This window comes from Homo sapiens, chromosome 13 (assembly GCF_000001405.40).
Source record: "Homo sapiens chromosome 13, GRCh38.p14 Primary Assembly".
NCBI lineage: Eukaryota > Metazoa > Chordata > Mammalia > Primates > Hominidae > Homo > Homo sapiens.
Genome location: NC_000013.11, coordinates 41,869,753 through 41,893,468, shown reverse-complemented (window position 1 = coordinate 41,893,468; position 23,716 = coordinate 41,869,753). Strand labels below are relative to the sequence as shown.

General features: G+C 38.6%; 1 protein-coding gene across 2 annotated transcripts in view; it reads left to right on the top strand.

The window, feature by feature from the left end:
• VWA8 (von Willebrand factor A domain containing 8) overlaps positions 1-23,716 on the top strand; it is a 394,275-nt gene that overhangs the window by 67,641 nt on the left and 302,918 nt on the right. For both annotated transcript variants that reach the window (NM_015058.2, NM_001009814.2), the window contains exons 5-9: positions 1,882-2,049; positions 6,108-6,272; positions 6,639-6,688; positions 7,441-7,549; positions 9,978-10,082. In NM_015058.2, the coding sequence (NP_055873.1) occupies positions 1,882-2,049; positions 6,108-6,272; positions 6,639-6,688; positions 7,441-7,549; positions 9,978-10,082 (597 nt within the window). The remainder of the gene's footprint in view (positions 1-1,881; positions 2,050-6,107; positions 6,273-6,638; positions 6,689-7,440; positions 7,550-9,977; positions 10,083-23,716) is intronic.

Genomic DNA, 23,716 nt, shown 5'->3' with positions numbered 1-23,716 from the left:
TTTTTTAAATAAAGCTTCTAGAACAAGATGGCTACTCTGGTAGAAGAGAATTAAAATATTGCAGTAATGATATATTTGAGGGATTATTCATGAAATGATCTTAAAATGGATGATTCTCTTGAGTCTAATATGGCTTTCATAAAGTTTATCATTTTACAACATTATGTAGACACTTGAAATAAACTAAGCTCTACTATACAGTGCAAAATTCAACAGTGTATTAAAAGAGGATAGTATGCAAGCTTGATTAAGCAATGCCTCTTTTCTACACTTGGAAAATCAGTACATTGCTACTCCAGAAATTTATTTGGATATTAAGTCTTAAAAAAATAGAGATATGTTTTCCCCTCATCAAACATTTAGATCCTTTTTTTGGACAATTACTATAGGGAAAATTAAATTTTAAGTGAGGGGTCAGTATAAGTAAAGACATTTTTCTGGTAAAGCAGTATGGTATGTACATGTGTAGAAGGAGATAACCAGTTTATTGTCACAGAAATACCACATGTGAGGCAACTAATATCAGGAGATGGTGTTGGAGAGGTAGGTAGATGCTGCATTGTGATAGGCTAATATGCCAAATTAAGGAGCTTGGACTATTGGGAGGTGATCTGAGAGGTAAGGAGAGCTTGAACTAGGGAAGGGGTAGAAAGGGATGAGTTCAAGAAACATCAAGGGCTCTGACCTGGGTCAATGGTGCTCACACCCCAGATAGAAAATAAAGAAGAGAAGCAGGTTTGGAGAAAATAGGATATTTTCAGTTTTGTACAAGGGACCTGAGGTGCTCATGGGGTCTGAGGGACCCCATATGAGGTACTAATGAGGGGGAGTTTCAGAACCCCAAGATTCTGGGGGGTCATTAGCATAAAGGTGGTAGTTGGAACTATGTGATTGAATAAGATTTTCAGGGAGGTCCTAGTAGGGTAAGAAGAGCTGTGTGTTAAGGATGTAATTCTGGCCATCATCTACATTTAATGGACAGGCACAGAAGACAAAACAATTTTCCTAGGACAATGCAGTGCCATGGAGACTAATGAAGGCGAGTTTTAAGGGAGGGAATAACAGTATAAATTTAGCACCATTAATCCTCTGTCTGTGGTTGAATGTGCAGAAGAAACATGACAGGTTTTCCTTTTTTAGCAGAACATGAAGGATTTTGACAAAAAGTAGTTTTCTATGTTATTAAGGACCTATAGTTAAAGGAAAATATTTTTTTCATATCTATAGTAATTTTTTTGTATTACAGTTTACTTTATTTCCTAATTTTCTCCATTACTAATTTTCTTAAAATTTATTGGAAGACTTGTAGTACTGGTTAAGTCAGTCTGCTATTGGCCAATGTAAAATCTGATTCTTTTTCTGTTTCTAAGTGTGTAATGTTGTCAGCATCATCACACAAAACCTCAATTTATTTGGATGATGACTTATGTTTACAAATGTTACAGTCTCCAAGCCTTCTCACCTAGCTTTTTTGATCCTTACAAGAAGCTTGTGGGATAGGTAGGGCAGATAACTGTCTTCATTTTTCTTTTCCAGTTGTGGAATCTGTGCCCTTGTTTAATTATGTTCCTTGTTCATAGATAGCTGTTAGTTTTTTATTTCATTGGGTATATAATCTAAAATATCAAGGCTGAAAGGAACTTCAGCGATCCTCTTTTTTCAATCCCTTTATTTTACAAACGAATAAACAGGCCCAAAGAGGTAAAATCACTTTCCTAAGATCATATAGGCAGAAAAAGCAAAACAAGATCTGGAACTCAGCTTTATTGATTTCTGGTCCCTATAACAAGAACTGCAACTTAAATTTGAATTACAAGTAATGTTAGGCCAAGCTCTGCAACTTCAGTATTCTCATTTTGCTTTTACGTTTCTTGGAAATAGTGTGCAGTTCGTGCAGCCACAGAAGGCAGAACTCTCATTTTGGAAGGTTTGGAAAAGGCAGAGAGGAATGTTTTGCCTGTTTTGAACAACTTGCTGGAAAACAGAGAGATGCAGCTTGAAGATGGACGCTTCCTGATGTCTGCTGAGCGTTACGACAAACTTCTCCGAGTAAGAAAAGAAAATCCTGTTGCTTTGTCTTTGCTGTCAAGCTATGGGCAGTGCCATTTTATTGTGTAAGACATGGCTCTGTTGGAATCAGGACAGATGTTCAGATGGCCCTTATCTTGGGTAAATTGCTAGAGTCATGAATTTACAGCTTTACAACACTCTTCTGTTTTAGACTTTGTCAAAACACCTCCCAGATTTTTACTGTCTTTTTTTTTTTTGGTCAGTCTAATAACTATTCTCTTTTCCATTTTTTTTCCTATTTTTTCTTCTTCTCTTTCTTCCTCTTTTCCCATCTCCTTTTTTCCCCCCTTTCTTTCTCTTAACAACTATTTAATAAAAGGCTAATGACTTCTAGATAGTGCTGGTCACCAGGGATACAAAGCTGAAGAAAGTCCAGTTTTTAGCTTCAGGAAGCTAAAGGTCCAGTAGGTATTGACAGAAATGAATAAAATATTTAAAGGATATCCTGTTCTGATGACCCAAGCCACCAGCATCACATGCCGAGGTTGCTGTAGGAACCTCCTAACTGCACTCCCTGCTTCCATCCTTCCTTCCTGACACTGGTCTCAACACAGCAGTCAGTGATCGCCTTAACAGTGCATCCATTTGGGGGCATTCCTATGCTCTAACCCTGATAGCTTCTTGTTCCACTCAGAGTAAAATTCAAAAGTTTTTACAATGCAATACAGTGCCCTTTGTTGTCTGCTTCCCTCTACTAGAATATAAGTTTCACAAGGGCAGGGATTTTTGTAACTGGTATTATCTCAAGTTCCTAGATCAATGGCTGGCACATGGTAGGTGCTTAAAAACTATTTGTTGAATGAATGAATAAGTACCGTGGAATGATTAAATGCTGTGAGAAACATGCATATAAAGAGGGCAACAACTAGGGAATGTGGGGACTCTTCAGAGGCTTGGGAGATGGGTTCATGTAATGTCACAAATGACAAGAAGACATTTAGCCCTTGTTCATCCAGCTCAAGCTGTACCATGCTGGATCTCTCTGTGGCTAACCCAGCCTTCTGTGACTGACTGCTCTGCCTGTACATTCTAGGACCTAGAGTCTCATACCTGTTCTGTAGAGATACATATGTGCTAATCTTACTACCCCAGGTTGGTTGCAAATTGATCACGAGCAAGATCTGTGTCTCATACTTCTTGATCTTGCTCCCAGGGTGCTAATATGAGCCCAGAACACACTAGGCCCTAAATAATGAATGCCAGAGGGTCTGATTGAACTGATGCTGCATGGCCGGCAGGGCCAGAAGCAGTCTGTTTCTTTACTGTTTGTGGGAGTTTCTAGATGATGCTTTACTGTGAAGTACAGTCATTTTCCTCTAGATCTATTCATGGAACATCTTGTTCTGATATAATCAGAAGGAGATAATCAAGGATTTAATCAAGTAGAAAAAGTTAAATTCATTGATTCATGTTGTTAATTTATCAAAATGAAAGCTTTTAACTTTATTTTTTAAAAGGCTATTATGCAGAACGTTTTCTCTTTAGATGCTTTCTAATTACAAAATAACTACTTGCCACTAGAGATTACATTAGTGTTAACCATTTTTAGTAAATAATTTGGAAAAAAAATACTCAGAATATGGAATCATTTTTTTTAAGTATAGGAGTTACTTCACAACAAAAAGTTTGATATATTCTTTATAGTAGAATTCTGTGCAAAGTTATTGAACATATTACTTTGGATAGGAATTCAGGATATGCGAGTCAAAAGAGGTTTAGTGGCTGGGTGCAGTGGCTCACACCTGTAACCCTAGCACTTTGGGAGGCTAAGGCAGGCAGATCACCTGAGGTCAGGAGTTCAAGATCAGCCTGGCCAACATGGTAAAACCTCGTTTCTACTAAAAATACAAAAATTAGCTGGGCGTGGTGGCATGCGCCTGTAATCCCAGCTACTCGGGAGGCTGAGGCAGGAGAATCGCTTGAACCCAGGAGGCTGAGATTGTGGTGAGCCAGGATTGCACCACTGCACTCCAGCCTGGGTGAGGGAGCGAGACTCTGTCGGAAAAAAAAAAAAAATAGGCTTAGTACGCAAAGAATGCTTATTATTAAGTGAGAAGGGTCTACTACATTTTTCTCCCAAAGTAAATATCAGTATAAACACATAAGTTTTTATCGGTAAATGTTATTTCTGTGTTCATAGAATCTGTCTCATGAGAACCTCACAGCATATAGATAAGATCCCTTCACAAAGCACTATCATCTTAAGACAACTTTTATGGTAAAAAGATTCTAACACCATAACTTAAGCCCCATTTATTTCTAGGTAGCTTTGATATTCTAAATTTAATATCTCAAAAATGTTATTGGTTTCATAAAGGTGATTATAGTAGAATTCTGTTACTATGGAAAGAGATACAAAGTTCAGTTTGTATGAACTTTATATTTTATTTAACATTTTTGAGTAAATGAAAAAGAGAAATATTTAGTCAGCTCTCTGAAGATTCTACTTTTGGTTTCTCAGACAGGGCTAGATCCAGATTTTCACTTTCTAGTGTATATGACATAGTTTCAGTGTGTTAATTAGGTGTATGATTTCTGATTTTGATTCATACCAAAATATGATTGAAATAATTATTATTTTTAAAATTAGTTCATGCAATCAGTCAACAGACATTTGTCCTGTTATACACTAGAGGTAATAAGTCCTTTCAAGAGTGTGGAGCTAGCATGAGACAGTCATGTATAGAAGCAAATGCACAAATAAATAATGATAGAAGCTTGCATAAGATAAAGTAAAAGGGTACAAAAATGGTTCTGATGAGGGAAGGGGATCTGAGTTTTATGAAGATATGAAGATGTTTTTTGTGCTGAGCTTTGACTGACCCTTGTGTTTACGGTGTGCGAGTGAAAAGGGTGTTGTTCCAAGAAGATGGAGTAGTGTTGGTGAAGCAGCATCATGTGTTTGGAGAGCTGCAGTTGGGAGATGGATTGGAGCACAGGGTCACGGAAGGAGGGTCAAGGGGACGGGCGTGTACTGGTTGCTGAGACTGAGAGAATCAGGGCTTCTGCCAGGAAAGGCCTTAAGTGCCATCTTAAGAGTTTCTATATTGTCATTTGGGCTGTGAAGAATTGCTGAAAGCCGTGGACGTTTCTCTCAGAGTGTACAAATGTGCATTCACACAAATTTAGTCAATACTGTAGATCCTGCTGCTGAAGAATGTGAAGAGCCATTGATAAGAGTTAGGCAGAGAAGGAAGGAAATGAGATTTAACAGGTGCCTCCTTTGGGCCACTTGTTTGCACATACATTTACACATTTAGTTTTCCTAGCAGTCACAATAATGTAGGTGATATTTTTCCTACTAAGAAGGCTAAGGTTCCAAAGGTATAATACCATGCATACGCTAACATTTAGTAAAAGTGTACATCAAGCAGTTGAGCCAGGATTTGTGACTCTAAAACCCATACTGTTTCCATTCTCTAAGCTCCACTGTATGCTAGTTGCAGGACGATGGGCAAGTTATATAACTCCTTTGAACTTTGATTCATTCATTCATATAAAAAGGAGATAGTCTATATTGGATTCTGGTGAAAGTTAAATGAGAAAAATCCATGGAATGTGCTTACCACATAGTAAGTTTCCAAAACATGTTAGTTATTGCTAGTAATATGCTTTGCTAGGAATAACCATAAACATAATTATCTATTTAAGGTCCACTGGTAATCAATCACAGCTTTGCTGGTGATCTGCCCGTCGGGGACTACCTTTGTTACAACCTCTAGTCATGTATTTTCCTTACCCCCTGACTGTTTTCCTCTGTGTTACTGACTAAGGCTTGGAGATCTGACCCAAGTCTCCTTTATTCCTTGGTGTGTTAACTGCTTTTCCTTTCAAACACCCCAGTCTTCATGTTGTGAGCCTGCCCTGGCATCCTGAACCTGATTTCACTTTGCTGCCTTCCTTGACAGTATGGATTTGAGAGTGTTCTCCAATACAGTTTTCTCAACAGTCAAGTCCTAAGTCCCTGGACTTGGCAGCTCTTACAGTTGTGATTTGTATCATTTATGCTATAGCTTCCGGATCTCTTACTTTTATAGGATCATACCAAAAAAGAGTTGGATTCTTGGAAAATTGTCCGAGTTAGTGAAAATTTCCGAGTGATTGCCTTGGGCTTGCCAGTGCCAAGGTATTCTGGGAATCCATTAGACCCCCCTCTTCGTTCTCGATTTCAAGCCAGGGATATTTATTATTTACCCTTCAAGGTAAGTAAGACCAAGGATAATTTATTTGTTAAACAGTTTTTCTATTTATAACAAGAACTTCAATGCTATAAAAATGTTACTGCAGTTTTGAATGTCTTCCTGAGTAGGTCATGGAAAGATATGAGAATAAAGAGTAAAGAAAAGCTCTGGAAACTAGGAAGAAAAATTATTATGGCATTATTTGAAGGATTTTTTTTAAAAGGCTGGCTTTTCTTTTAGAAAATGAAATGTATCAATAAATGATTTTTTGCTGTTAAATATTTAGTGTCTGCTTAATTAAAAGGTTGGATTGTATCTACAAAACATTTGCATTTAATCTGTTACATTTCTTGTTAATTAATTTAATATGTTTCTGTATTACTTTAGGACCAACTTAAGTTGTTATATTCAATTGGAGCCAATGTTTCTGCTGAGAAGTAAGTATATTTTTATAAATGTCTGGACACTGAATATTGAATTTGTTTTGCCTGTTCATTGATTGATTGATTAATTAATTCAGTCATTCAACAACTAGAATTCTTATAAGAATTTTTCAGTATTAGGATGTTTGGTGATAAAATTAATAAGATATCTTTGGCAGGAAACTCAAGATCTAATAGAGTTGAAAGATATGTGAATAGCTTTGGTTAACATGGTATAGTAAGTGCCATAATTTGAAAATATTTGGGGGCATTAGTTGAGACTTTATAAGGGCTTCATAAAAGCATTGGTGTTTGAAATGGGTCCTAAATAATGAGCAAGTTTTTGCCAGATAGAGAGTGGAATCAAGAAATTCGAACACAACAAGTGTTTTTTTTTTGTTTTGTTTGTTTGTTTGTTTTAAAAGCATGGAATGTGAGAGTTTATGCCTTGTTTTTAGGGCCATAAAAAACTCTTGGAGGCTAGAGTTTAGGTTTGGGATTACGAAATGTGAGAGATGAGGCTGGCAGGGTAGATTTGGACCAGGTGGTGAAAAACCTCAAATATTGTGATGAATTTAGGAATATATTTGCATCTAATCAGCTTCTGAGTTTTAAGTAGGATATTATGATGCGGAACCATTGTTCCTTAAGAATTAATATTAGGGATCTTTTTTAGATTAATTAAATTGGCCCCTGTATTTTATATTTAACAACTTACACATTTTATATTTTAAAACTATTAAAATTTAATATCATTTTTCCCTTAGAGTTTCTCAGCTCTTGTCCTTTGCCACAACTCTGTGTTCCCAAGAATCTTCTACTCTTGGACTTCCAGACTTTCCTTTAGATAGTTTAGCAGCTGCGGTTCAAATCTTGGTAAGTAAAATAAATTAATGACTGGCATACCCAAATATGTTAAAAATTTTGAAAGTTAATCATTAGGGATTAATGACTTCAGTTTGCTTTTGTCATACTCTTCTATAAATATTGTAAGGCCTGAGATTAATTTGTTGTGCAGTGCAGTAAACTGTACAGAGACCAAGGACATGTTCTGAGCCCCTAAAGAGCTTTCAGCTTTGGAGTAGGAGCTAGACATGCAATCTCAGTAAAGTTCTACAGAGGGAAGGAAGGCTTTAGCCTGATCAAGTAAGAGGTGTGCTGCAGTGTGAGTTAGGCCTCAGAGCTGTCCTTACCTGAGTTAGGGGAGCTAGGGCTTTCACACTGTTCTAGCTTCCATCAGTCTCTGTGTCATGGTTGTCTCAGGGGACACAAATTCCCAGACACTAACTGCTCTCCCAGCATGTGTGCAAGGGTGGCTTCAAGAGCCCAAGGATCGTCTTCTTAGAAAGACCTACAGCAATTGCTGTTGGAAGAGAAAGCTAGGAGGCACAAGAGAGAATGCAAACAGATCTGAGGGGATCTGATAGAGTACAGACATTGTCCACTACAGTTTCACAAAGGGCATGGCGGTCATGTCTGGAGTGATAAAAGGCCCAGGAAGTCAAAGCACAGGCAAATGTGTTTAATCACAAAAGGGCCTAGTATCTTTGGAGAATGAGAATAAGTTGTATCCCTAAAGCAAGTGTGTGTGGTAGAGGGAGAAGTCAGACCGCTATTGTGAAATGTTTTGCATGATGAATGAAGTTTCCTGGATTTTATGATATGGAAAAAGTGGCTTATCAGACAATATTAAGTTGGTGGGCTATGAATGTGACCAGACTTATGTTGGAGGAAGACACCTTTGTTGGAAGTGAGGGAATGACTAGGAAGCTTTTGTAACACTCAGTGAGACCCTGTGGAGGAGGGCACCATCCAAGATAGTGGGAATACTATCTTAGGCAAGAGACTTATTTTTAAACTTGTATGTATGTATGTATGTATGTATGTATGTATGTATGTATGTATATATGTATGTTTCATGTGAGTCAGGGAGCCTAGGTATTGTTGACATTGTTCTATACATCCAGAACAGAATTTCTCCTCCTGTTTATCAAATCTTATACTTTTATCAAATCTTTTTGTTTTTGCTTAGAACATTTTATTTTGAAAATTCTTATGAAATCTTTTGTTTTTGCTTAGAACATTTTACTTTGAAAATTCTCAAATGTAAAAAAAAGTTGAAAAACAGTAAAACATTCATAATCCCCTCACCTACAATCACCCATTATTAATATATTGCCACATTTGTTTGCATGTGCTTTTTTCTTTTTTTTTTTCCTGAACCATTTGGAAGTAAATTGCAGTCAGTACTCTTAAATACTTCAGTGTGTGTATCAGTTCGTTCTCCCGCTGCTATGAAGAAATACCTGAGACTGGGTAATTTATAAAGAAAAGAGGTTTAATTGACTCACAGTTCTGCAAGGCTATGGAGGCCTCAGGAAACTTACAATCGTGGTGGAAGAGGAAGCAAACACGTCCTTCACATGGTGGCAGGAGAGAAAAGTGCAGAGTGAAGGAGGGGAAAAGCCCTTTATAAAGCCATCAGATCTCATGAGAACTCACTATCATGAGAACAGCATGGAGGTTAACTGCCTCCATGATTCAGTTGTCTCCCACTGGGTCCCTCCCATGACACGTGGGGATTGTGGGAGCTACAATTCAAGATGAGATTTGGGTGGGGACACAGCCAAACCATATCAGTATGCAACTTCTAAGAATTAGGACATTCTTCTACATAACCAGAACAACATTATCACACTTCATATCATGTTAACAGTAATCCATAGTATCATCTAATAGATAGTTCATATTGAAATTTCACTAATCTTTCTTGTCAACAGACTTTTAAAGTGGGGTGAACAGAATTGACAGTGCAGATAATGTGAGGAAGGATTTGAGGATAATGAATACTTTCTAATTTTGTAGTTATAACTGTGAAGCTAAGTGAATGTGGATGAGATTAACTTAGGAATAAAAAGGGATCAGGTACTTTGGGATGAATAAGGTAGAGACATGTATTCTGTTTCAAATGGGGGTCTATGGGATATTCATATAGTCACATGTAATGAACAATTGAGGGTTCAGGTTTAGAGCTCAAGAAAGAAGTCAAGACCAGACATAGAAGTGTGGGAGCCATCAATACATAGAAGATAAATGAAAGATGGGAATGGGTAAGCTTACCCAGAGAAAGGGCAAGGAATGAGAAGAGAAAATAATGAATATTTGCTTTTGTAGACTTACAGAAAATACCAGACACCTATTGGTTACTTTTATAAGTCAATTTTAATGTCATATGTACATTTCAGATGTTTTCTGTGATTATTTTGAATTTTGCTCATTCCTATGTATTTTTGCTCCTACATAGGATTCCTTTCCTATGATGCCAATCAAACATGCAATCCAGTGGCTTTATCCATATAGTATTTTACTAGGTCATGAAGGGAAGATGGCTGTGGAAGGTGTTTTAAAGGTGAGTGTCTGCTTCCCTTTCTTTCCTTTCTTTTCCCATTTTCCCTTCCCTTGCCTTTTCCCATCTTCCCCTCACTCCTTTCCCCACCTTTCCTATTTTTCTCTCCCCATCCTTATTTCTTTCCTTTCCCTTCCCCTCCATTCTTTACCAGGCATGGAGGTATCAGCATTCCAACAAGAAGACAGCTGTGATAAATAGGGCAGCAAACACACAGGGGCTGGTGTGATTGGGAGATTGGTTATGTTGAGCAAATAAGTAAATAGATTGAGCAAATGAATGAATATATTAAGGATAATAAGAGTTATGCTTCTCACTGTTGGATGAGGGATTTATAACCATGGAAAGGGGGAAGGCAAGAAAAAACTCTAAGGTATTGGATTGGAATTGGTGTTATTATGAATCATGACTTTTTTTAAACAATATATATGAACAAATAGATAGAGATAGTATGTGTATATGTATACATACACATATTTTCTAGCTGTCTCCTAAGGCAGCCTAAAAACTATGATGTTCTCATATTTAGTTAAAAAAATAGGATTGCTCTCCCTCTCCCTCTCCCTCTCCCCACGGTCTCCCTCTCCCTCTCTTTCCACGGTCTCCCTCTGATGCCCAGCCGAAGCTGGACTGTACTGCTGCCATCTCGGCTCACTGCAACCTCCCTGCCTGATTCTCCTGCCTCAGCCTGCCGAGTGCCTGCGATTGCAGGCGCGCGACGCCACGCCTGACTGGTTTTCGTATTTTTTTGGTGGAGACGGGGTTTCGCTGTGTTGGCCGGGCTGGTCTCCAGCTCCTAACCGCGAGTGATCCGCCAGCCTTGGCCTCCCGGGGTGCTGGGATTGCAGACGGAGTCTGGTTCACTCAGTGCTCAATGGTGCCCAGGCTGGAGTGCAGTGGTGTGATCTCGGCTCGCTACAACCTCCACCTCCCAGCTGCCTGCCTTGGCCTCCCAAAGTGCCGAGATTGCAGCCTCTGCCTGGCCGCCACCCCGTCTGGGAAGTGAGGAGCGTCTCTGCCTGGCCGCCCGTCGTCTGGGACGTGAGGAGCCCCTCTGCCTGGCTGCCCAGTCTGGAAAGTGAGGAGCGTCTCTGCCCGGCCGCCATCCCATCTAGGAAGTGACGAGCGCCTCTTCCCGGTCGCCATCCCATCTAGGAAGTGAGGAGCGTCTCTGCCCGGCCGCCCATCGTCTGAGATGTGGGGAGAGCCTCTGCCCTGCCGCCCCGTCTGGGATGTGAGGAGCACCTCCACCCGGCCGCGACCCCGTCTGGGAGGTGAGGAGCGTCTCTGCCCGGCCGCCCCGTCTGAGAAGTGAGGAGACCCTCCGCCTGGCAACCGCCCGTCTGAGAAGTGAGGAGCCCCTCCGCCCGGAAGCCGCCCCATCTGAGAAGTGAGGAGCCCCTCCGTCCCGGCAGTCACCCTGTCTGGGAAGTGAGGAGCGTCTCCGCCCAGCAGCCACCCCGTCCGGGAGGGAGGTGGGGGTCAGCCCCCGCCAGGCCAGCCGCCCCGTCCGGGAGGGAGGTGGGGGGGTCAGCCCCCCGCCCGGCCAGCCGCCCCGTCCGGGAGGTGAGGGGCACCTCTGCCCGGCCGCCCCTACTGGGAAGTGAGGAGCTCCTCTGCCCAGCCAGTCGCCCCGTCCAGGAGGGAGGTGGGGGGGTCAGCCCCCAGCCCGGCCAGCCGCCCCGTCCGGGAGGTGAGGGGCGCCTCTGCCCGGCCGCCCCTACTGGGAAGTGAGGAGCCCTCTGCCCAGCCGCCCCTACTGGGAAGTGAGGAGCCCCTCTGCCTGGCCACCACCCCGTCTGGGAGGTGTACCCAACAGCTCATTGAGAACGGGCCATGATGACAATGGCGGTTTTGTGGAACAGAAGGGGGGAAAGGTGGGGAAAAGATTGAGAAATCGGATGGTTGCCGTGTCTGTGTAGAAAGAGGTAGACATGGGAGACTTTTCATTTTGTTCTGTACTAAGAAAAATTCTTATCCTGTTGATCTGTGACCTTACCCCCCCCCCCCCCCCCCCGGCAAAAAAAAACTATGATGTTCTAGTAGCAGTGATCATACCAAGTACCTGGACATTGGTTTCTAAATACCATGCTCTCTAAAAGGATTAGGTCAGGGAATGCAGAAGATGAGCCTGGACCATCTTTTTGTGCCAGAGAGTAAGGAAATATTCAACAAATGATGTCGATATGTCAAAATGATGGAGTTCCCAGGTTGAAGTGGCTGAAATCTGGGACAATTTGAGCATAAAAATAAATGATGATGGTAATTGGTTTTAACCTGTTACATAAAATAGGAATCCATGAGTCCATACTGATAGAAATGAACAAAAAATATGGAGATGGGAGTTCTCTTTTAAAGTGTAAAATGCCTACTTGTGAATCTAGAAGGAATTACATAAATAGAAAAAACACCATTTGGCAACCATCAGAGTGGCAGTTAATTTAGACAGGAGTCATCAAAGGATGTTAAAGCTGGCAGGTGGAGCCTCTATGAGACACAGGGTATTGACATAATCTCTGAATATCTCCCTCCAAAAGACTCAGTTGACTACAAAACAAGAAAGTGGTATTTTTACAGTAAACTTCAACTTGACCAGGTGGGACAAATTGACATTGTATGCCTCCCAAATTCCCCATTTCTGGGGAATTTTTGCTGAGAGTTCATGATGTATGTTTGGCCATGAGGAAATATTGTAGATTTCTAGGTTGAGGGTCATTGTATAGAACATAGGCCTCTATTCTTTAAAACTGTTCAGACATGAAAGACAGGGAAAAACATAGAAATGTTCCAGGCTAAAGGAGACTGAAGAGATTGGATAGCTAAATGCATCATATGTTCCTGAATTAAATCCTGGACCATTAGAAGCAAGTGACAATATTGGCACTGTTGGTAAAACTTGAGTAGGGTCTGTGGATTGGATAATAGTGTTATATTAAGTGGATTTCCTCATTTGGAGGCTTATGTGGTGATTATACTGGCCACAGTTCTTGTTTTCAGGAAATACCAACTGGAGTGTTTAGGGGTATAGGGGCATCATATCTGCAGCTTACTCTCAAATTGTTCAGATAAAGATAACTGATAAAATAGGCAGGGGGAGTAGGAGGGAGGGGGAAATGTGCTAAAAAAATGTTAACCATTGAGGAAACTGGGTGAAGGTTATTAACTTGAAAAGCAAGTATTTTATATAAAACTATGGAAATTGCTATAGAGCTTTCATTTAAACTAATGAAGGTCTCATTTTTTGTCATAAGTGGTTTATAATACGTGGGGCATGGTTTTCTTTTAAAATATGTGTGGCATAATTTCCTCATTGTATAGTTAACAGTGGTGTTTTCCAAAAGGCCAGTCACACTCTAAAATGTCTTATAACTATATGTTTAAAGTGTTGACCCTTGGCAGAGACTTATTGGCTCACCAAAATTAATTCCTCCATATGAAAGATGGTTTTTGTTTTTCTTACATGGTTTGGCTCAAGGTGTGGATTTCTAAGAAATAGAATGTGACCACTAAGCTGTATGGCTTTCTGTATAGAACCTTCAGTTTCTGGAGGCCAGGATTTGACAACGTTAAGCATATGGAATGGTATTTCTCTCTCCCTTATCTTCAAATCTACCCAGGGTCTTTGGGATACACAACACCCTCTGTGTATCTATTAATAATGAGAAGACCTTAGAAGAGTGGAACATTGGATTCTAATTACTTAAGTGGTATTTTTTTTTTTTCAGAGCAGTTAGCCAAAGAACCCAAAGAAACAGTATTTTCATTGACTGGTTATGTCAATAATAATAATAAGATAAAATTAATATACAGCTGTTCCTAATAGATAATGAGAAGAGAGGTGTAGTTAGAGACGGAATCTATAAGAGAAGCAAAAAGAAGCAAGGGGAAAATAATGGTCAATAAAGAGACAAAGGAGGGAAGAGACAGCAGAGGATGGAAGCAGTGAAATAACCAATGATGAAAGAGAAGAAAGGTGTGTGTGTGTGTGTGTGTGTGTGTGTGTGTGTATGTGTGTATGTATGAGAGAGAGAGGAAGAGTAGGAGGAGAAGGAGGAGGAGGAACAGCAGCAGAAAGAGGAGGAGGGTGGATATTAAGAACCATGTGGAAATGGGGAGATTAATTCATAGGCTCAAGGAGTCAGGAAATTACCATCTTCTGACAATATAGTTCACTTCAAGGTTTATTCCAGGTGCTGGGGAAAAAGAGAACCGGAACTTATCTTTGATTTAATCAACACCTAAGCTAAATTGGCCATTGGTCATCGAAGTAGAGTACCTAGTGTTTAAGATCAAAGGTCGTGACTCCAGATGAACTTTAATGCCCCTCAGCCCAATGTGCAGTGCCTTGGGAACAAGGGCACATCCTCAGGGAGGAAGAAACTCATGAGAAGTTCTGATAAAATGAAGCAATGTAATGTTTTTTGTGAAAAAAACTGAGAGAAGATATTCAGTGTCTAATAAAGTCAGTTATGAACAAAGGTCTTTATCTTTACCAAGAAACCACTTTGATGTATTTTTTGGTCTGTAATTTCAAAACTAGTCATACAAATTTATTATAAAGTTATAGAATATCTTTAAAGAGTTGAATTTTCTTAATAAAGTAGCTAGTGTTGCTTCATTTTTTGGTCTTTATTTTAACCATAATTAAGGGGAACGTAGAAAAATGATTGCGTTTATATTGGAACAGAAATGATTTCAAATTTGAATGTAGAGTGTTTTAAAAAGGAAAAAGGGATTGGTATTAGATAAGAGGAGAAAGTATGGCTGTCTTCTCACCTTAATTATGTGAAGAGCTAGTTAATGGACAGTTGTAACTCAGTAAACTGTCAAGTGGGAGGGCTTAAGTTCATTTGTCTGATCTTAATGAAGTACTTTCTTTTTGTAAGATCATTACACAATGATGTATACAACCAGATTAGCATCTTAAATAGCTTTTCTTAAGAGTGGAAGAGTCAAAAAAAAAAAAGAGTGGAAGAGTATTTATTGATATAATTCTTTATCATCTGTTCTGGGAAGTCTATGTGGTCTGTTTGTTATTGTAAGTTTCTACATTTACCTCAAAGCATTATTTTAAGCTAATATTTATAGGTGGGTGAAATATATGTGCTCAAATAGTTTTGAATTAGAAGAGGTAAAAATTAATAAAATATTGTTGAATTTGGAAAAAAATGTTTACTTAAGAAATAGAAGTATGTATTATAATGGTAAATTAAGAAGGTATGTATATATACACATTAACTTTTCCTTGATAAATGATAATTATTTTTTCTCCTAGATTATCATAGAAATTAATGTATAGTTGCATTCAAATTAGAAATCCATTTAAATTTTAGTGTAATTACTTAATTAGACTATTTTTAAGGAAAAATTATTAGTCACTGAAAATTCAATCAGATAGAATTCACAATACCTTTCTTTTTTCTGAACAAGCTATAAAAGTGGCTGGAATGACTTTCATTCCCCAGATGGTGCTCATCATGTGATGTTCATACTCTAAAAACATGTTTCTGTAGTCATGAAATACTTTCTAGCTTTTAGTTAAGGATGTCTTAAAGAAAACCCTCTCATTCTGAATCTGCTATACTTTGAGAATAGTATGCTTTCTTACAGTTTAGTAACAAATACATCCAGGCTTCTAGTAACGTGTCTTGGCTCTTGGTCTCAGTTAAGACTGCATCATAACAGTGGTTAAATTGGTAAGTTCTCTTGGTGATTTAGAAAGGATATACTGCCACTTATCCATTGATAATGTAATCTGAGCCATAGTTTTTTTCTAAGAAACTTGGATCTTACATTTAGTATTTTTATTTAGTTCAACAAACACTAATTGAGCATTCATTTTTTGGCAAATTATATGCATATAGAAAGGTAGTGATACAGAAATGGATACAATCTGATTTCAGCTCCTGAGGAAGTTACAATATTAATGTCTGAGGAGCATCAGATATTTCAATAAATAACTATTTTAATATGTGTTTTGTTTTTTTTTTAAGCAGTGTAGCATGATGACTAGCTCTGGTCAAAGCAGTAATGACCTGAAGTAGGCCAGTGAAATAAGAATTAAACAAATATGAGAAATGTTTCAGAAGAAGGATGATACATGTTACTAACTGATGAAATATGAGGTGGGTTAAGGGAGATATGAGAGAAAGTGAGAAATCAAAAATGTCCATAAATCCTACCTTGGACACGTGAGTATAGTTGCTGTTAATTAATATGATAAAGTGGGAGAAGGATCACATTTGTGGTGGGGGCTAAATAATTCCATATACTAGAACCCTTTTGAATTTGAGGTTTTTCTGGTGGTTTTATCTAGCAGACTTGAAAATATGGACCTGGTTCTAGAGGTATTTTGATATTAAAGATAAATACTTGGAACCCGTTAATGTGTGGGTGTTAGTTGAATTCATGGGGATGGATGTAACAACTTAAGGAATGCAAGTATAAAGAGAGGAAAAATCTGTCTGCAGATTGAACATTTCAGGATTGGATAAGTAGGGAAAGAACCTTCATATTAGGCAGAGGAAGAGTGGTTAGAGATAGAAGCAGAACTGCGGAGAGTATTCTTAGAGAGCATTGGGAACAACTGTTTGAAGAAGAAAGTAATAGCAACTGTTTCAAATGCTGCAAAGATGCCTTGTTAAATGAAGAGTTATAATATTCACTCAAAAAAGATTATTCATTCCATCCATCCTTCCATCCAATCAATTAGCCAGGCACTATTGTGCTGGAGATGTATGCAAAACAGAAGTTTCTACCTTCGTGGAGCTTATTTTTCAATGAAGGGCGACTGTCAGTCAAGTAAGTAAATAAGTATATAATATATCAATTGAGGAATGGATGCTGTCACTGAGAAGATGACATTTGAATAAATTTCTGAAGGAGAGAAGTCCTGTGGGTAGAAAGTATTTCAGACAGAAGGGATAACCAGTATAAAAACGCTGAGGCAGGAGCACACCTGGGAACTGTAGGAAAAGCAAAGGACAATGTATTGGGGCAGAGTGAGTGAAGGAGAGGTGATTAGGAGAGAAATCAGAAGGTAAAGAAAGATCATGTAGGGCTCTGTAATCCATGGAAAGGACTTCTGCTTTCAGTCTGTGTGAGGTGGAACACCATTAGAGGGTTTTGAGGAATGTGTTGTATGAGTGATCATTTTAACAGGCTCATTCTGGTTGCTGAGTAGTGAATAGACTGTGGAGGGTATGAATGAAAACAGGGAAAAAATAGTTGGTAGACTGTTGTAGTAATCCAGTTGAGACACTATTGTAGCTTTGACCAGCTGTGATGTTGATAAGAAGTAGTTGGATTTGGGTTATGTTTTGAAGGTAGAATCATTTTGATTTGCTGAAGGGTTAGATGTAGGGTTGATACAGAGTTAAGGATGATTTCAAGCTTTTGGACTGAGAAACGTGAATGATGAAGTTGGAGATAGAGAATATGGAGGTGGAGGGAATATCAGACCTGAGTATTGGACATATTTGATTTAAGATGCCTATTAGCCAACTGAAAATGTCAAAGAGGCAGTTGCATATACAAGTCAAGATTTCAGGAGAGAGATCTGTACTGGAGAGAGAAAATCGGGGTCATGATGGTTTGTAAAGTCATGCAAGTGATGAGCTTATTTAAAAAGTGAATGTAGATAGAAAATAAAAAGTTCCACTCCTGAAGTACCTTACTGTGTACTGGTCAAGAAGATGAAGAAGAAACTGCAAAAAAGACTGAGAAGGAAACAGCAAAATAGGAAGAAAACTAATTTATTTAATTTGGTAAATAGGATATTATTGATGGACCTACCAAGATCAGTGTTAGTAGAGTGGTGGGAATGTAAGCCAAAAATCAAGGGGCTTACATTTTAAATTGGAGATGAAGCTGAACCCCCAGTGATTATAATTCATATGTATCAATGAAGTTTGATGGTGAACAAAAGCCAAAAGATGATAGATCACTTAAGGATGAGGTATAATGAAGAAATGACTGTTTCTGGAATGGGGAGACAAACATTTTTATAGGCAGAAGGGACAAAAAATGTGGAGTGCATGGAAAATGTGCCCTAGCTGAGGTGGAAAAGGACATTTTCAGAGCACCCTTGTGTCTTGTTTTGAAATGATGGAAGAACATGCTTTCCACTCAGGAACTGGAATGATGAAGCTGCCATAATATGACATAGTAAGTCTTCTAGGGGTTTCTGTCTACTCATAGTTAAAGCAGAAGTCCTTTCTACTGAAACAGTGGGAACAATAACAAGAATTGATTAAAACATCAATGATTTTGAGGATGAAGGAAAAATAATTTTGTTTGTTCATTTAACAAACCATTGTTGACCATTGACCGTCCCATGTGTGATTCTAGGTTCTGGAAATTTGGAGTGAGCCAAATAGATACATTTAATATTGCCCTAATGGGGCTTACATTCTAGTAAAGTATGGAGGAGTATGTGTCTGAAAGCTCTGTTCTGAGTGGAGGAGGCAGCTAGATTGCCTCTTGAAAGGGTGGTAAATGGGCTCAGATTTACTTCTGAGGAGAGCAGTAATGGTTTGTATTTGTTGCTGAGGGGCTATGAGAAAAGAGCCCAGGAGAGATTGTGGCAACATATTTGTTCAGGCAACATGGTATGCAGAATTTCACTTTCAGTACTTAACAATCTAGAAAAAGGTATGAAGAAAGTAGATGGCCTGATGGGACAGGATTGGGAATTGTAAGGATGAATAGGGAAGCCTGACAGACCAATATCCAATGTGATTTATATTTCATTTTATTTAATTATAATTCACAGTTTAAATAACCTAATTCTAAAGAAAGTGTATTAGAAAATGGGAGTTCACTCATGATTTGGCTCTCTGTTTGTCTGTTATTGGTGTATAAGAATGCTTGTGATTTTTGCACATTGATTTTGTATCCTGAGACTTTGCTGAAGTTGCTTATCAGCTTAAGGAGATTTTGGGCTGAGACAATGGGGTTTTCTAGATATACAGTCATGTCATCTGCAAACAGAGACAATTTGACTTCCTTTTTTCCTAATTGAATACCCTTTATTTCCTTCTCCTGCCTAATTGCCCTGGCCAGAACTTCCAACACTATGTTGAATAGGAGTGGTGAGAGAGGGCATCCCTGTCTTGTGCCAGTTTTCAAAGGGAATGCTTCCAGTTTTTGCCCATTCAGTATGATATTGGCTGTGGGTTTGTCATAGATAGCTCTTATTATTTTGAGATACGTCCCATCAATACCTAATTTATTGAGAGTTTTTAGCATGAAGCGTTGTTGAATTTTGTCAAAGGCCTTTTCTGCATCTATTGAGATAATCATGTGGTTTTTGTCTTTGGCTCTGTTTATATGCTGGATTACATTTATTGATTTGCATATATTGAACCAGCCTTGCATCCCAGGGATGAAGCCCACTTGATCATGGTGAATAAGCTTTTTGATATGCTGCTGGATTTGGTTTGCCAGTATTTTATTGAGGATTTTTGCATCAATGTTCATCAAGGATATTGGTCTAAAATTCTCTTTTTTGGTTGTGTCTCTGCCCGGCTTTGGTATCAGGATGGTGCTGGCCTCATAAAATGAGTTAGGGAGGATTCCCTCTTTTTCTATTGATTGGAATAGTTTCAGAAGGAATGATACCAGTTCCTCCTTGTACCTCTGGTAGAATTTGGCTGTGAATCCATCTGGTCCTGGACTCTTTTTGGTTGGTGAGCTATTGGTTATTGCCACAATTTCAGCTCCTGTTATTGGTCTATTCAGAGATTCAACTTCTTCCTGGTTTAGTCTTGGGAGAGTGTATGTGTCGAGGAATTTATCCATTTCTTCTAGATTTTCTAGTTTATTTGCGTAGAGGTGTTTGTAGCATTCTCTGATGGTAGTTTGTATTTCTGTGGGATTGGTGGTGATATCCCCTTTATCATTTTTTATTGTGTCTATTTGATTCTTCTCTCTTTTTTTCTTTATTAGTCTTGCTAGCGGTCTGTCAATTTTGTTGATCCTTTCAAAAAACCAGCTCCTGGATTCATTAATTTTTTGAAGGATTTTTTTGTGTCTCAATTTCCTTCAGTTCTGCTCTGATTTTAGTTATTTCTTGCCTTCTGCTAGCTTTTGAATATATTTGCTCTTGCTTTTCTAGTTCTTTTAATTGTGATGTTAGGGTGTCAATTTTGGATCTTTCCTGCTTTCTCTTGTGGGCATTTAGTGCTATAAATTTCCCTCTACACACTGCTTTGAATGTGTCCCAGAGATTCTGGTATGTTATGTCTTTGTTCTCGTTGGTTTCAAAGAACATCTTTATTTCTGCCTTCATTTCGTTATGTACCCAGTAGTCATTCACAATTGCTTCAAAGAGAATAAAATACCTAGGAATCCACCTTATAAGGGATGTGAAGGACCTCTTCAAGGAGAACAACAAACCACTGCTCAATGAAATAAAAGAGGATACAAACAAATGGAAGAACATTCCATGCTCATGGGTAGGAAGAATCAATATTGTGAAAATGGCCATACTGCCCAAGGTAATTTATAGATTCAATGCCATCCCCATCAAGCTACCAATGACTTTCTTCACAGAATTGGAAAAAACTACTTTAAAGTTCATATGGAACCAAAAAAGGGCCCACATTGCCAAGTCAATCCTAAGCCAAAAGAACAAAGCTGGAGGCATCACACTACCTGACTTCAAACTATACTACAAGGCTACAGTAACCAAAACAGCATGGTACTGGTACCAAAACAGAGATATAGATCAATGGAACAGAACAGAGCCCTCAGAAATAACGCCATATATCTACAACTGTCTGATCTTTGACAAACCTGAGAAAAACAAGCAATGGGGAAAGGATTCCCTATTTAATAAATGGTGCTGGGAAAACTGGCTAGCCATATGTAGAAAGCTGAAACTGGATCCCTTCCTTACACCTTATACAAAAATCAATTCAAGATGAATTAAAGACTTAAACGTTAGACCTAAAACCATAAAAACCCTAGAAGAAAACGTAGGCATTACCATTCAGGGCATAGGCATGGGCAAGGACTTCATGTCTAAAACACCAAAAGCAATGGCAAGAAAAGCCAAAATTGACAAATGGGATCTAATTAAACTAAAGAGCTTCTGCACAGCAAAAGAAACTACCATCAGAGTGAACAGGCAACCCACAAAATGGGAGAAAATCTTCACAACCTATTCATCTGACAAAGGGCTAATATCCAGAATCTACAAAGAACTCAAACAAATTTACAAGAAAAAAACAAACAACCCCATCAAAAAGTGGGTGAAGGACATGAACAGACACTTCTCAAAAGAAGACATTTATGCAGCCAAAAGACACATGAAAAAATGCTCATCATCACTGGCCATCAGAGAAATGCAGATCAAAACCACAATGAGATACCATCTCACACCAGTTAGAATGGCAATCATTAAAAAGTCAGGAAACAACAGGTGCTGCAGAGGATGTGGAGAAATAGGAACACTTCTACACTGTTGGTGGGACTGTAAACTAGTTCAACCATTGTGGAAGTCAGTGTGGCGATTTCTCAGGGATCTAGAGCTAGAAATACCATTTGACCCAGCCATCCCATTACTGGGTATATACCCAAAGGACTATAAATCATGCTGCTATAAAGACACATGCACATGTATGTTTATTGCGGCACTATTCACAATAGCAAAGACTTGGAACCAACCCAAATGTCCAACAACGATAGACTGGATTAAGAAAATGTGGCACATATACACCATGGAATACTATGCAGCCATAAAAAATGATGAGTTCATGTCCTTTGTAGGGACATGGATGAAATTGGAAATCATCATTCTCAGTAAACTATTGCAAGAACAAAAAACCAAACACCGCATATTCTCACTCATAGGTGGGAATGGAACAATGAGAACACATGGACACAGGAAGGGGAACATCACACTCTGGGGACTGTTGTGGGGTGGAGGGAGTGGGGAGGGATAGCATTGGGAGATATACCTAATGCTAGATGACGAGTTAGTGGGTGCAGCACACCAGCATGGCACATGTATACATATGTAACTAACCTGCACATTGTGCACATGTACCCTAAAACTTAAAGTATAATAATAAATTTAAAAAAATAAAAAAGAAAATGTTAATACTGTTTAATTGAAATTCAAGAATTCATAGGAAATACTCAGAAAGTGGTAAGTTAACAAACTCTTATTTTCTACTTCTTGCTAGGAAGTAACCTGAAATAATTATATGTCTATTGTTCTTCTGACCAGCTGTGATGTTGATAAGAAGTAGTTGCATTTGGGTTATAGTTTGAAGGTAGAATCATTATGATTTGCTGAAGGGTTGGATGCAGGGTTGAGACAGAGGTAAGGGTGATTTCAAGCTTTTGGACTGAGAAACTTAAATGATGGAGTTGGAGATAGAGAATATGGGGGTACCTTTCTGATTAATACCTTTCTGAGTAACAATCCTCTAAATTTTCCATGCCAGAAAATGATAATTCACCTTGCAATTTGAGGTTTTTACTATCTTAGTGTATTCTGGCCTACTATTTTTATTTTACTAAAATATTTTAGCTTTAATTATTTGTGTGGACATAACCAGTGTAGCAAGTGGCTCAGGACATAGTGTTTATTTCTGGAATATGTGTCCTCTGACGTCACTCCTGTATCAAGTTAGATTGACACTACTCTAGCTGTGGGAAAACATACATTTAAGCTCATTTATTTGTTTTCCTAGAATTTAATGAATCTTCGTTCTAAATTTTTTTTCTTTTTTTTTTTTTTTTTGAGACGGAGTCTTGCTCTGTCACCAAGCAGAGTGCAGTGTCACGTCTTGGCTCACTGCAACCTCCTCTTCCTGGGTTCAAGCGATTCTCCTGACCCAGCCTCCCGAGTAGCTGGGATTACAGGCACATGCCACCACGCCCAGCTAATTTTTGTATTTTTAGTAGAGACGGGGTTTCACCATGTTGGCCAGGCTGGTCTTGAACTCCTGACCTCAAGTGATCCACCCATCTCTGCCTCCCAAAGTGCTGGGATTATAGGCATTAGCCTTTGCGCCCAGCCATTTGTTCTACATTCTAATGAATTTAATTACTTGGGTAGGTCTTGCTCCTTTCCTGTTGAGTTCTCCTTAAAATACAGTGGAACTTTTTTTTTTTCATGAAATTAAGGTGTCAATAGTTGTTATTTGTCTACAACATGGAAGCAATTCTTGTCAAATTATGTGATACTGTGGGGATTTGCATATATAAATTGTATGAAATATAGAACTTTTTAATGGCAGTATAAATTCACAGGTTTTTTTTTAGGTTTGGGGAAAGGAGTTAGTGATTGTCTTGAGTACTTATGACATCAAAATGAAGACTTGAACTGGGATGTTAAGTTTAGAATGTTGAGGTTAAACATGATTTTCTTCCTCCCAAATCTATTTTCTGGAGTTCTTTCATTCTGCTGAATACATGATGATCTGTTCTTTCATTGAGTTTCAACTCTTTCACTATAGTAATAATGTTCCAAAACTAGTGTAGGATTTTGGGGGTTAATTTCTGCCTATTTAATAGTAAAAATAAATTCAGTTTTTTATATTGAGCATGCTGTTATAAATAAGGCATAGAACTTAATTTTCAATTTATTTTCATCTTTCACATACTTACCTGTATTCTTTCTG